Here is a 13,072-nt window from a genome sequence, read left to right as displayed (position 1 = left end):
TGATCCACCTGCCTCGGCCTCCCAAAGTGCTAGGATCACAGGCATGAGCCACCATGCCTGGTCAGAAACTTGATTTTCTTTAATGAAACAATGATATACACAGCCTTTTTAAGAGTAATTACTTTTTTTTTTTTTTAGATGGAGTCTCACTCTTTTCACCCAGGCTGGAGTACAGCGGTGAGATCTCAGCTCACTGCAATCTCCACCTCCCAGATTCAAGTGCTTCTCGGGCCTCAGCCTCCTTAGTAGATTGGATTACAGGCATGCACCACCACACTCAGCTAATTTTTGTGTTTTTAGTGGAGACAAGGTTTCACCATGTTGGCCAGGCTGGTCTCGAACTCCCGACCTCAGGTGATCTGCCTACTTCTGCCTCCCAAAGTGTTGGGATTACAGGAGTGAGCCACTGCACCTGGGCTAATTTTAATTACCTCTGTTCTTAAATGGATTTACTTAAATTCAGAGAATATCCACAGTTCTTTCATACTGAAACTTACGCAGAAAAAAAAATAACAGGATGTGAAATGGGTAAGACAAAGAAATAATCTCTCAAGCTCTTCGTACAAAGTTTGATTAAGAGAGAGTGTCTGCAACTCTCTGCTTTGCTCCCAGCTGGGTCTGCTGTTCTAGTGAGCGCCAGCAGTTATTCTCGTTTTCTGCAGTATTCCCAGGCTGCCAAAAGGCTCTGCTCTGTAAGCTGAGAAAGACTCAACAGCTACAACACTGGTGTTCACAGCAGCAAGGTTTATTTCCTCACAAGATGATATTCCTGGGTTTGCATACGTTTGCTCTTTTCAGTGAACCATGTCCTCTAAATGTCACCTTGCTTCCATTCAGCACGGTCTGTGTTCCGACTGTCCAGGGGCTTCCAGGAACAGCCCACAGATTGATGGCTTGCTGAAAGCTCCCTCGTTATCTTTCACTGTAAATTCCTTTCATCAGTAATCTCTTGTGCCCTGGATGCAGCACTTCTTTGTACGCGTGCTGTGAAATAAAATCTCAGATAATGTGTGTGCTAATTTTCTTTCTTCCCTCCCTACCCCCATTATCCCCACAATGTGACCTCAGAGCTAATTGTTTGTTTGATTGTGAAGAACTAGTTTGGACCCTGGCACGGGTTTCATGATTTATGATAGAACTCAAGAGATCTTGGTCTGTGAAGAAAAAAATGTCCTCTGTTAACTCACAAAAGGGGCTGTCTTGGCCCATATACTCCTTTTAGTTTAAAAAGCACAGGAAGAATAGGAAATAGAGAATTCTTACCACATACTTACAGAGGGATAGGTAATGTTATGTTTTTCTGTTAGGAAGAAGAGACTTGGTTATCTAGCAAGCTCACAGTCACTGTTGGGAGCCAGCTAGGGCTGCTTTTAAAATACACTTGGGATGTTGGGAACTGGAGGACCCTAAAGGTAGCAAGGATGCAACTATTTTAATATTTTGGCTTCAAACCTTGGACTTGTGTGGAAGTTTGTGAAGTATAATTAGCTATTCTAAACACAAACATTTCACTTTATATTTTTCCTTTTTCATATCAGGGCATGCAGGTAAAAGCAGAATTCAGGAACCAGGAAAACAAGAAGTGCTGTAATGTAATACAACCCTCTATTCTGTTATGACTCAGCAGAATCACAAGATTTGAGCTCTGGAGGTGTTTTCTGTCCATCAAACAAACGAAGCCCACTCCACCAAGGTAGTATGTATATAACAATTATCTTCAGCTTCTCAAACAGTCACACACAAGGCAAAAAAACAAACAACTCCCCTCCCCATGAAACAGGGGCCAAGGTCTGAGAATACACATGACAATTGAATGGCTGCCAACACTGCTTCTTTCTCGGAGTTTGCCTGAAAGTCTTTTTCTTTTTTTTGTGTGTGAATAACTAAAGAAGAGGCAGCTGCCACAGCGAATAGGATTCAAAAACCCATTAATATTGGTGACTCATCAGCCAGATTCTTTTCTCCATGTCTGAAAATGTCAGGAAATTAAAAAGGCACCATGGCATCTCCAGGAGACGAATCCCAAATCAGAGCTGTAACCACTTCTAAATATTCTTGGCCTCATTTGGAAATTGGCTGTCACCTGAGACATGGCCTGGTTTGTAGTCCCATCTGTGGGGGGCAGGACAGACTATCAACTCACTGAGTGAGCCACTTAGCCCACCTTCCAGCAGTGCTGGAATTATGGGGTTGGAGGTATTGCTTGTTATTTGTGGAGTAGATAAGGTAACTAGGTGTGGCCTGGGTACTCAGTGAGGCTTCCTTTAGAGAAGGAAAGACAGCGGTAGTCAAAAGCTGAAGCCACATGCACCCTTCACTTAACTAAATGACCAGCTGAATAAGACATAGGTAGAGATAGATATTCAGAAACATCTGGATAATGGCTCTTTAATTTGTAGTCTTTCTCTGAAGATTTAATCCTAACATTTGAATTCCCAGTCACTTAAAACAGACCCTATGATCTCATTTTAATTCAATGAGCTTCCTTAATCTACAATATGGAGACCAGCCACTTTTTGTGTATATAATGAGCAAAAAATGTATCTTCAGAAAAATAAAATTTCAAATCCTTCTTACAACACTGGAATGAGAAAAATATCTAGAAACCATAATGTTGCTTGTAAGGTTGTCAGGTTCTTGGCTAAAGTGAATCTTGGCTAGAATTCATTTATTTAATGAGCTCATTTTTAACTGGAGTTCCAGCTCTGAGCATGGATGACACGAGTAGCTAAGAAGAGTCTCTGTTCAAAAAGGAAAAACATGTCTATGAACATCTGTACTACAGCATGGGCTATGGGAATCAGGGGAGGTTCAAGGGAGTTTATAGCAGGTGAGCCATGCTTTGATGGACAGGTAGCAAGGGGCATGTTGAGATGGTGAGGAACCATCTGGGTAGAGTGCAGGAGGAGAGGCTTAGAGTTCGGAAAATAGCCAGGCTGAGGTTTGGTGTCTAGTGGGAAAATGAAATTGGAACGGTAAATTATGGAAAGCCTTGAAAGCTAAAAGGAACAGTTTGGATGTCATTTTGTGGTCAATGAAAAGTCACTGAAAGTTTCTCATCAGGAATAAGAGGATTCTTTTGTTTATTTACTTTACCAATATTTATTGAGTACTTACCATGTGCATTAATCACAGGCATGCTTGACTTAGCAGTGTAAAAAGAAGCCCTTGTTGGCTTGTACTCAAGGAGAGAGAAGACAGATAAGAAGCAAAGAGAAAATAGACACAACACAGTAGAGTGAAGAAGTGTGCTATTTTAGATAGGACTGTGGTAAGGGAAGGCCTTTCAGAGTCAATGTCATTTGGTGAACGAGCTGAAACAAGTGACAGAGTGAGTGAATCATGTATGTCCGAGGGAAAGTCAGTCCAGCCAATGTCATTCCAGCAAATGCCAAGGCCCTGAGGCAGGAACCCATGCAAGGAAGACCAAGGAGGCCAGTACAGTAGAACAGAATGAGCAGGAATAAATTAGAAGAGAGTGAGGTCAGAGATGATTGGGAGCTGGACCCTTTCCAGCCATTTGATGGACTTTGGGTTTTACTCTTCATGAGATAACAGCCATTGGAGGGTTTTGAGTACGAAAGTCACTACGTCTCAGTTATTTTTCTAAGACATCTCTCTAGAGAATAGATTTTAGAAAGACAAGGACAGAATCACGAAGAGCAGTCAGGAGGTTTTTGCAATAATACAAGGGGGAAGTGAAGGTGGGTTAAACCTGGGTGGCAGTGATGAAGGCGGTGAGTAGGGGTCAGATTCTGGACACACTTTGAAGGCAGAGCCAGTGGGATTGCTGATAGGCTGGATAGGGCAAGTGAGAGAAACAAAAAGGCCAACAATTGCTGCAAAGCTTTTGCCTTGAATAATAACAGAATGTAGGTGACATAACTCAGTTGGGAAAAACTGTGTAAGGAATGGGTGTGGAGGGATCAGGAGTTTGGCCTGAGCAAATTGGATATAAGCAGATTAGTAGCTATCTACTAATATTGAGTAGATATTAAGTAGAGAGCAGAGGATTTGAATCAGGAGTTTAAGGGGAAGCCAAGGCTGTATATATACATCTAAGAATTATTAGTATATAGATGACATTTCAAACATGAATGTTGTGAGCTCACTTACTGATTGAAGGAAGATGTAGAAGTTTCCAGAATGGAACTAACAGTACTCCAGTGTCTTAAGGCTAAAGAAATGAGGAATATCCCTTTATTAATTCTAAGAAGGAGAAGTAGCCATGTAGCAGAGGAACCAAGAAAAGAGTGGAGTCCTCACAAATTCCTTGAGGACGGCATCATTGTTACCATCATCACCTCTTTAAAAAGTGGATCCATGTTTCCATAGCTGGTATGTAGCAGTGCCCATGCTACTAACCATTATACATACTGCCTGTCATGAAGAGGTAAGGGTTACCTTCATGAGGTGGAAACACAAAAAAGCATTTTGTTTTATAACCAGGTTTTTGAGCTCCATAGTCCAAAGCTATGTCTGACTCATGAATCTACTCCAGTATTTCTGGAAAGGAGGAAACTCAATTATCCTGGTGCTACATCAAGGAGGGAAGAATTGATTTTGAGACTACAGGGTAAGATTTTTAACAGCAGAAGGCATTGCAGTATTTTTTATAGACGTTAGCTAAATAGTTTACTATTAATGGTTGAACAAAAGAATAATTTACTGTTAATTGTTGAACAAATGAAAATGCTATAGTAGGAAATTCTAGTAGTAAACCGAGATTAATTTTATTCTGATTGAGACAACGAAGATATTGGGCTGCTAATTATATTGGGGAGTGAATTGATGTATCTCATTTTGCTTTTATCATATAGAATAACTGGCTCTATACCTTGTTTTTCTAACAACCTAAGCTACGTTGTTTCCAGTTCTGGCCCTGGATTATTGGACTCATTGAGTGACATTTGGCAAGTCACTAAACATCTCTGGACTCCAGTTTACCCGTCCAAACCTCAGGGGTCACGTGAGTGAGATCCCTTTCAAGACCCCTTTCTATTAGGTTACTGCAAAAGTAGTTGCAGTGTTTGCTATTAAAAGTAACGTCAAAACCACAATTACTTTTGCACCAACCTATATTTCTAGCATCTAGCATCCATACCTCACTATTTATGGCAAATTTATTCCTATATTGAATTCCTACAATGCAATGCACAACTCCCAAATGTTACATCTTTTGAGCCCTCTAAATTACTTTAAAATAGACATGCTGAAGGTGACAGCCCTGTAGATAAAAATGTTAAATACTCCAAGTCAGGTTGAACAATTCCTGAAAACTCATGTTCTTTGTAATTTTTCCTTTTGGCTTTAATTTTCTGGGTAAAGGAAAAATGCCAACCTTTCCCTCCTCTAAACTCTCACAGCACTTTATTTTTGTCTGTCTTAGAACATTGATTGCTTAAAAACTTATTTGCACCTACACACCTTAAGTGTTTCCGTTATGAAGCTGTGGTTGAATCAACCATCTCCTCAGTGTATTCTTTCAAACTCAGTGTATTCTTTTGCAGGGGCTGCCAGAACAAAGTACCAATGGGTGGCTTAAACAACAGACATTTATTTTCTTGCAGTTCTGGATTGCTAGAAATCTGAGATTAAAGTGTTAGCAGGATTGATTTCTTTTGAGGCCTTTGTCCTTGGCTTATAGATGGCCAACTTCTGCTGTGTCCTCATTTGATTTTCCTTTTGTATGTCAATGTCCTATTCTCCTCTTTTCATGACACCAGTCATATTGGATAGGCCCATCGTAATGACCTCATTTTAACTTAATCCCTTTGTTAAAGGACCCATCTCCAAATATAATCACATTTTGAGATACTGGAGTTAGGATGACAACATATGACTTTTCAGGGGACACAATTCAGTCTATAAGATTCAGGAAGCACAAGTCTCCAATTCCCAACTTGATCTTGTTTCTGTGCACCACAGTGCTTACTGCTCACCCTCCATTCCTGAGAAGTTGCATCTGTACTCAGCTGATTTATAGGTAAGGTGGGATTCAAAAGTGATATTAGTAATACAAGAAATAGAAGCTAATCTTTGCAGTTTAGTCAGTACTTATGCCTATCTACCAAGATGTGCTTCACTCCAACTTTATAGACTTTCTAAACTTTATGGACTTTACTCTAACTTTATATAGACTTCCACTCAATCTTTATGGAACTTTGAGGCTCTAACCTAAAATACAGATAGTGTGTTTTTGATGAGCAAAATCATTCTTGGCCTTATGGCAACATTTTGCTCTGAATAGGATTCTGTTGGTTTGAAACACAGCATTTCACTTGCTCTTTTGGAAGTATATTCCATATTGTTTACCTGATGCTCAGAGGTAAATGTATAAAATGTATAAAAATGCTTGACCCTTCTCATACCTGGAGAAAGCCATGATCCATTCAACATGGTATTTAATTTCTGATAACTATGACAAAAGAAGGCAGAAAATATTGCCTTAACAGCTGTGTTTCCCTGAACAACCCATTATAGCTCTCCCATCTAAGGTTCTTTAAATCATTTTGGAGTCTCTTAGAGAATTTTAAGCCCAAGGAAACTGTTAAGAAAAAGGCTTCCATATTTTGAGTTAAAGGTATTATTTCAATGGCATTCGGGAAACAGCAAATGAGTTTAGTGTGTTCATGTTTCAACTTAGGTCCTACTCTTGGAGCTAGAAGATCAGAGCTTAAGTCACAGGTAGGCTCAGACCTTGGGAAATTAACTCCACCACTTCTGAGTCTTAATTCTTGAAGTCAGCAATTAGTGTAATGATTTTCTGCCATTCTTAACTCTTGGATAGTGTGAAATACAAACTGACAGAATTTGTTATTTTTAATAAGTTTAAGAGCGGGCTGGTCAGCTGCTGTCATCTAGGCTTGCTCATGGGTCTATGGTCAGCTGTGAAAGGTCTAGGATGATCTCAGGTGGACAACTCAGCTCTGTTCCTTGTGTGATCTTGTGTTCCAACAGGCTAGTTTCCTCAAAGACACAGGAACAAGAAGGAGAGAATAGAATCAAGGTATTTGGAGGCCTTGGCTCAGAACTAGTGCCCTATCACTTCTTCCTCATTGCATTGGGCAAAACATGTGACAAGCCAGCCCAGATTCTCCAGCCAGCGTTATGTTGAAATCTCAACTCCAACCCTAAGCCTACCTCTTCCTGGTCATGATCACTTCTGCTGGTTGTAGCCTTTATCACTACTGCCTACCAAAATTCAAATTCAAATATGGGCCCTCCCCTTCTGCTATGTCACTTTCCATCTCTTCTTCTTCTGTTATCTCTACAGCCACTTGCTTCCCTACCACTGTCCCTGTCTTGGAGGAATAGGAAGAGAAGACTCCATTCTTGACTAGAGAAGCTTCAAAATCATTTGAAACTGAGTGTTGACACAAGGCAAAATCAGATTGGGGCCATTTTGCAAACCATCTACTATCACAAAAATAACTGAAAAATTAGGCCATTGTTCCCATACAATTTGTGACCACTGTCTTTCTTAGAATCTCCATGTACACAGTAAAACATTTTCCCATGATTTGATTCTAGTTTCTTGCCCTTTTTAGACGTGGAAACCACGCAGATAAGCTTCTTACTCTGTAAGGTTACTATTTGGTGTTTTCTATCACTTCTAATTGAAAAGATACTGCATTTTTAAAAGTATAAAATTTGGGATGACTCAGGGGAAATTTTAAGAGTTCCATTAGAAACCACATGTGGCATACTTCACAGTTGCAATATAAACACAATGAAAAGTGTACACTTTATTCTTTCCCTTCTTGAGAAGGCCATTATTATTTCCATTTCATTGTTTTCAAAATAATTGAAAATGGTCAATTTTATGTTCCTCTATGGTAAACATATTGAGTGGAAAATTTCAAATTTAGCTATTTCTCCTACTTGAGAACATGATTTGCATTGTAAGTCATTTGCAATAAATGAACTGCTTGGACTATTAAACTGGAGGATCTCAGAATATATATATTTGTCAGCTATGATTTAAATCCCACCTTTTTTCAAAAAGAGATCCTAGTCATTTATAATAAAATGAATATATAGTAAGTTGTTTAAAATAGTTACAGAAGCGTGAAGAAGAGGGAAAAGTGAAAACAGAAAAAAGTTCAAGCCAACAAAATTACTGTAATTTAGCATTAAATTAGGCTTTATGCCTCCTAATTAGAAAGAAACAATTGAACTTCCAAGTCAGGAAAGTTCAATTTATTCTCTAGAGTAATGCTTTTATCCCAGGGTTAATAACACAATAGTGCCACAAATAATTTGCTGTTAATAACTGTTAAAGTTGTTGAAGTATTTCTTTTTTAAAATATAGATAGAATGGTGTTTGGAAAAAACTCTCAAATGTTTTTTTCTTTGCCCTCACAACACACAATAAACACAGACTTTTGTGACCAAATGTGTGTGTGTGGGAGGGTTTCTCTCCACCACCAAGTGAGCAATTAATCCTGCATCAGATACCAACTGGATGTCCTCCAATTCAGTGCCAACACTATCTACCTGGAGATAGCATCAGGTCCCACAAATTGAGGGTTCAGTCCCACGAAACTGCCCTCTTCACTTCAGACACCAGTCTGAAGTCTGGGCCTTCAGAATTTCTGACCCACTGGCTTCAAGTTGGGGTTCCCATGACTCCTCTTTGGGTTTCGTTAATTTACTGGAACAAATCTCAGGCAAATGCTTATGTTTTACTGTTTTATTATAGAGGATATTACAAAGGATATAGATGAAGTGTTGCACACGGAGAGGTAGTAATGCATGATTTTTCTCAACCCCTTTATTGGACTTGTGATGGGGATACCCCATCTATATGGCCCATCATGCTCAACCTCTTGTAGGAGGGAGCTCGTGAGTGAGTGTGGGATCTAGCTGGCTGCTTTGGGCACCAGCAGAAGCAAGCTCCATGCAGGCCCCATGGTGGCACCCAGGTGGAGGTGTCTGCAACCCCCGAAACCCCAGAGCACATGTACAATGTTCTCTTAGCTCCACCATCTGTGGACAGCAGTGTGTTACCAGCTCAGTGGGCCCCTTGCCTCATCACGTGAGGCAGCTGGCCTCTGCCAGTGAGGGCAAAGGGCCAGTGCGACTTCCTTTTTTTGGTACCTGAACTTGGTGGGTCCTGAGCTCTTGTCCAGTGTCCAAGAAGAATGAGGTTGCTGGAACACTTGAAGGATGGTGAAGGTGGAGAATTTTATTAAGCAATGGAAATGGCTTTCAGAGGAGAGGAGAGCTGGAGAGAGGATGGGGTGGGCAGGTAATCTTTCCCCAAAGTCCAGCTGGCTCTGGCTGGCTCTTCCCTGACATCAAGCCACCTCTCCAAAGTTAAACCATCTCTCCTCCGAAGTACAGTTGCCCCTCTGAAGTCAAGTTACCTCTCTCCAGTCAAGTGGCTTCTGTCTCTCTACTGACTGAATTTGGGGTCTTTATAAGCACAGGATGGGGAATGGGGAAGGCCTTAGGTAGTTTTGGAAAAGACAACGTTTGATTGGTAAAAAGACATCATTTGGAAAGAGCCAATCAGGAGACAGCAGGCAAACAGTGATAGAAGTTCTCACTTTGGGCCACGGGTTTCAGGCTTTTCAGCTTGAAGGTGGGGTTTCACCAGGGATCTGCCCCTGTCTGCCTAGGATTTCTCTGCATCCTGCCTCTCTCAGTAGAAGTGAAAGAGTATGTTAAGGAGCTTCCGTGTCCTCCCTGGAAGCGCCACCCTCCAATAACCTCCACGTGTTCAGCTATTTGGAAGCTCTCTGAACCCTGTTCTCTTGAGTTCTTAAAGAGGATTCATTAGGCATTGATTAAACCATTGGCCATAGGTGACCAACTTGACTTTCAGCTCCTCCCCTATCCCCAGAAGAGAGATTGGGGAGGGGACTGTCAGTCCCACCCCCCATTCATATTTTTGTTTTTCCTGTGACCAGCCCTCATCTTAAAGCTGTCAGTCACCATTAGCATACAAAAAGATAGCACTTGAGGGATTCCAAGGATTTTAGAAGTTCTATGCCAGGAAATAAGAAAGAAGACCAAATATATATTTCACAATATCACAGATGGATTCATTTTCACCCACTTACTTTTTGAAGTGGGAAAGAAAGGCATGTGTGTACAACTAGGTTGCTGTTTTATATCTATAGGAATCTAGCTATGTGTAAAATGTAAAAGTCATCTGATACACACGTCGGAGTGGTGAAAAGATTGAAAGCTGCTGCCCACAAAGATTCTTTGCCTGTGACCAGTTAATGCATATTGGTTCTTTACCTGAATTTGCAACCTTGGGAGAATATAATGAACTTTCAAAATCCACAGCTGTCCAGGGATCGCCTGTAAGGGGATGGTCATCAGCAGCAAATAGACAATACTAATGATGTCACCACCACCTGGAATAAAGCACTTTCAAAGGTGTTTCCCGCTTATTATTTCATCTTGGCCTCCTAAATTCATAAGAGGTTTAGGAAGGTATTTTTTTTCATTTCACTGATGAGCAATCAGGACCCAGAGAGATGAAATACCTTGCAGAAGTTCACGTCTTTTAGGAACTAGAGCTAGCCTGATTATTTTTGCTCCTGAAATTGCTGGACTGCTCTGAATGACCTGAATTTATCTTGGTAGAGACCAGAGATCTCCATTGAAGGTTCTTCTTGATTGGATAAAACCAACTTTGGCTTGAGAGAGTCTCACACTCACTTTGAACTGTGACTTATAACCTTACAGCTGGCCAGGGCAAAGACCCCCTGGCTCAAGCTGTCTCTGTGCTCAGTGCATTGAACCATTTATGTGAATATCCCAAGGAGTTGCCAGGACTGAACTGGAAGAGTTAAGGTCTTCCCCAAAATGCCTGGTCTTGCCAGAGCAACTGACTCTAAAGGCTGGCTTGTTACTGACCCTGGGTTCTTGGACCTTCAATGCAATATAAGTTGACATGAGGCCCAAAGAGTTTGCCCAGACAAGTCTTTATTGGAACTTACACCAGGGCATAAAGGAGGCAGCAACAGAGAGAGAGAATTTTCTGGCTGGCTCCCCAGAGGGAGATGAAAAGACAGTTTTAAAAGGGCTGCAGAGGGAAAGGAATGGTGTTTGGGTATGCAGAGGCAGGGAACTGTTAGCACTTGGGCAGTTTGATAACATGCTTCTTCATATGTTGCATGTCTCATTTGCATGTTAAGTCTCTACCCCTGGGTGTGATTTTTAGTATGTGATTTTTAGTAATGAAGCTGAGGTTAAGGGTTGGTCATCTCCTGGTCTTGTGCATATGTGGGAGTTAGGGTGGACTCTCTTGAGTAAGATTTATGGTGGGAATTGCTTATTTTAGCTTCTTCAATTTCCTGTAGTCAGTGGCTATGGCACCATGCACAAGATTATGATGCAGGGTCTGAATGATCTGATTGGGGTCTCTGCTGGCCAGGAGCCCTTCCCCTCACCAGCTTGCAGTCCTTGATGGGACATGGTTGGGGGAAAGTCCCATTCTTATTCTGTCTCAGGCTGATAATTAAAAGGAATACCTGCTATGTCACCATGTATCTAGACCTCATTACTGAAATACCATTAGACAAGAAGAGACTAGAAGACAAAGCATTATGCTGTCTCTATCTTGTTTTTTTTTCACATGATTCACTAGTTAGATAATTATTGAATTTAAAGCATTTTTAAATCCTGAAATAAAAAATTTTATCTAAAGCAACAGAAAGCAGATGGTGTATGTGAATAAGAGAACCAGCTCAGAGTTATACACAGCTGTATTCTCTTCTCTGCTGCCAGAAGTGGAATTTGATTATGTCCGTGATTCACTTCCAAAATGACACATCGTTAACATCCTAGTGTAACACCAAGCTTTTGGCAGCGATGAAGCTAATCTTTGTCCTGAAAATAATACCGCCTTCTCCTCCTTACTCAGGAAATTAATTCAGTGACGAATTGGAGTGCAGTGTTCTTCATTAGCATCAAGATTTTCTTTAATAACTAGGAAAAAGCAGTGAAAATAATAAGTGTTTACAAAGATAATCAATAATGCCAGAATGCAATAACTGAGATTCTATCAATATCAGGTTCATCTTGGGGTAGATGTCTAGTGTACTGCTTTAGAGGGTAGCCTCTGGCATCTGACAACTCTGAGTTTAAATTCCTAATTACTGTGTGAGATCAGAAAGTTGTCTCACTTTTCTCCTTTAAAATCAGATAATAGTCCCTGGTGTATGATGTTCCCCTTCCTGTGTCCATGTGTTCTCATTGTTCAATTCCCACCTATAAGTGAGAACATGTGGTGTTTGGTTTTTTGTCCTTGCGATAGTTTGCTGAGAATGATGGTTTCCAGCTTCATCCATGTCCCTACAAAGAACATGAACTCATCACTTTTTATGGCTGCATAGTATTCCATGGTGTATATGTGCCACATTTTCGGGGGAGGGATAGCATTAGGAGATATATCTAATGCTAAATGATGAGTTAATGGGTGCAGCACACCAACATGGCACATGTATGCATATGTAACAAACCTGCACATTGTGCACATGTACCCTAAAACTTAAAGTATAATAAAAAAAAAATCTGATAATAGGCCGGGCGCAGTGGCTCACGCCTGTAATCCCAGCACTTTGGGAGGCCGAGGCAGGCGGATCATGAGGTCAGGAGATCGAGACCATCCTGGCTAACACGGTGAAAAACCCCATCTCTACTAAAAAAATACAAAAAAAAATTAGCCGGGTGTGGTGGCGGGTGCCTGTAGTCCCAACTATTCGGGAGGCTGAGGCAGGAGAATGGTGTGAACTCAGGAGGCAGAGCTTGCAGTGAGCCAAGATCACGCCACTGAACTCCAGCCTGGGCAACAGAGCGAGACTCTGTCTCAAAAAAAAAAAAATGAGATAATAATACTTATCTTAAATAATTGTTGTGAGGATTAGGTAAGATTATGGAAGTAAATTTCTCACCACAGTACTAGGCATGTAGTGAGCGCTTAATAACTGATACTTGAAAACAAAAACTAATGGACTAAAAGATGGGTATATTATTGGGCTTTTTTGTTAATCACTTGCATAATTCTGAAGACGTCAAGTGAAACACAAGATATCCAGAATACTGTGGT

General features: G+C 40.8%; 2 long non-coding RNA genes across 2 annotated transcripts in view; one reads left to right on the top strand and one right to left on the bottom strand.

The window, feature by feature from the left end:
• Window positions 1-4,449: 4,449 nt before the first annotated feature.
• On the top strand, window positions 4,450-6,118 carry LOC124907987 (uncharacterized). The gene is made up of 2 exons (XR_007088098.1): window positions 4,450-4,576; window positions 4,821-6,118. It is a non-coding gene; the product is annotated as an uncharacterized LOC124907987 (long non-coding RNA).
• A 4,809-nt stretch (window positions 6,119-10,927) lies between these two features.
• Window positions 10,928-13,072, bottom strand: part of LOC105373907 (uncharacterized) — a 40,025-nt gene continuing 37,880 nt past the window's right edge. Inside the window, exon 5 of the long non-coding RNA NR_187973.1 lies at window positions 10,928-11,952. This is a non-coding gene — a long non-coding RNA (uncharacterized LOC105373907). The remainder of the gene's footprint in view (window positions 11,953-13,072) is intronic.

The sequence above is a fragment of the Homo sapiens genome, chromosome 2, assembly GCF_000001405.40.
Source record: "Homo sapiens chromosome 2, GRCh38.p14 Primary Assembly".
NCBI classification, from domain to species: domain Eukaryota; kingdom Metazoa; phylum Chordata; class Mammalia; order Primates; family Hominidae; genus Homo; species Homo sapiens.
This window is presented reverse-complemented; position numbering and strand designations above follow the sequence as displayed.